Below are 2,209 nucleotides of genomic sequence, written 5' to 3'. Positions count from 1 at the left end.
TGCACAACAAATTACATAAACACTGATGGCTTCACACAGCAATAATGATTTATTTCTTTCTATGGTTTCTGTGGATCAGGAATTTGGGAGTGACTTGGCTGGTCTGTTCTGCCTCATGCTGTATCATGAGATTGCAGTCAGATGTTGGCTGAGGCTGCAGCCTTCTAGAGGTTGGATTGGAGGAGCTGCCTCCAGCATGGCTCACTCACATGGCTGTTGGCTGGAGGCTGCAGTTCCACTCCGAGAGGACTTCACCACAGTCTGCTTGAGTGATATCGCTGTACGGTGGTTAACTTCCTCCAGGATTTGCAACTCAAGACACCAAGGTGGAAGCTTCAGTGCCTTTTATGATCTATCCTTAGAAGTCCTACATCATCACTTCCTCAGTACTTTCTTGCTCACACAGGAGTGACCCCATCCAGTGTGTTGTGAGGGACTACACAAAAGCATAGATGGCAGGAGGTGAGGATTATTGGAGGCCATCTTGGAGGCAGGTGATCATGTTGCTATTGTTCAGAAGTCTACAAGTCTTTTCCTTATAGGTGATTCTCCCTTCTCTTTGGGTTCTTGCAAGATATTCTCTTTGTTGATGATACTCTTCAACTTTACCATAACATGTTTAGGTGTAGAATAATATTGTGTTTCCTTGATCTTTGGATGCATATTTTTCATCAGTTCCAGAAAATTATCTTAATACATAATTCTTTTAATGTATAATACATTATTCTCTTAATGTAAATTCTTAAATTCTTACCATCTTCTTTAGAGATTTCAAACAGACACATATTAGATGCTGTCATTGAATCCCCTCATGTCTCTTACTCTCTCTTTCATGTTTCTCATCTTCCCGTCTTCTCTGGGTTTTCTTCTCCTCTACTACTTCTCTCTTTAACTGTGTGTAGCCTGCTGAACCCATGTACTGTGGGTTTTTTTTTTAATTTAAGCAATTATATTTTACATTTTTGAGGTTACATTATAAAAACCAACTCCATTAATTCCTGAAGGTTTACTTTTATATGCTGTTTTTGTAATTGCATCCTTCATTTCCCATTTTTAAAATCATTTTTGAGAAATAACATCCATGCAGAAAATTTCATAAAAGAAGATTGTACAGATGAAAGAGTGATAACAAAAGAAATATCTTTATGATGGGAATGCCACCTGGATCAGGACAGAATATACTCCTAGCACCCTAGAGACATTCTGGTGCCCCTCCTGAGAACTCCTTCTTCCCTCCTCCTTGTCACTTCCTCTGGGTGACCACTATCCTGAGCTTTATAAAATACTTTCCTCACTTTTCTTTACACCTGTGTTCCTAAATACCAGTCTAGTCTTGCTTTTGTTTTGAACTGTACATAAATGGAATCATACAATGTATATTCTGTTGTGTCTAGCTTCTTTTGCTCAATATTAGAGTTATGAGATTCATGCATATTGTCGCTTGTTGTTTTGAATTGTTTGTTTTTATTGCTGTACCACTATTTTTTTTTTCTTTTTCTTTTTTAGAGATAGGATCTCACTCTGTCACCTATGCTGGAGTAGTAGTGATATGATCACAGCTCACTGCTGCCTCAACCTCCTGGGCTCAAGTGATTGTCCTACCTCAGCCTCCCAAGTAGCTGGGACTACAGGTGCATGTCACTACACCTGAGTAATTTTTAAATGTTTTGCAGTGATGAGATCTCGTTATGTTGCCCAGGCTGGTCTCAAACTCCTGGCCTCAAGTGATCCTCCCATCTAAGGCATGAGCCACTGTGCCCGGCTGCCATTATTTTTAATGCCTTATTCTGTTGCTGGATATTCGGTTATTTTCCTTTTTGGGACAGTTGTTAATAATGAGGCTATAAATATAACTTCTCCACATTTCTTGCTGTATATGTGCACATATTTCTTTTTTTGGATATACTTAAAGATGGAATTACCAGGTCAAATAATAGATTCATATTCACCTTGAGTAGATAATACCAAACCATGTTCCAAACCAGTTGAACCAATTTGAACTCTTACGAGCAGTGCATGAGATTTTCACTTGCTTCCATTCTTGCCAATACTTGTTATTGTCTGGGTTTCTTTCTTTTTTTTTTAATATTAGGTATTTTGGTGGGTATGTAGTTTTATCTTATTAGAGTTTTAATTTGCATTTCCCTGATGTGTGCATATTGGTCATCTGAATATACTCTTTTGTGGTGTTCATTTTAGTCTCTTATCC

This window comes from Homo sapiens, chromosome 1, assembly GCF_000001405.40.
Source record: "Homo sapiens chromosome 1, GRCh38.p14 Primary Assembly".
Taxonomy (NCBI): domain Eukaryota; kingdom Metazoa; phylum Chordata; class Mammalia; order Primates; family Hominidae; genus Homo; species Homo sapiens.
Note: the sequence above shows the minus strand (reverse complement) of the source record.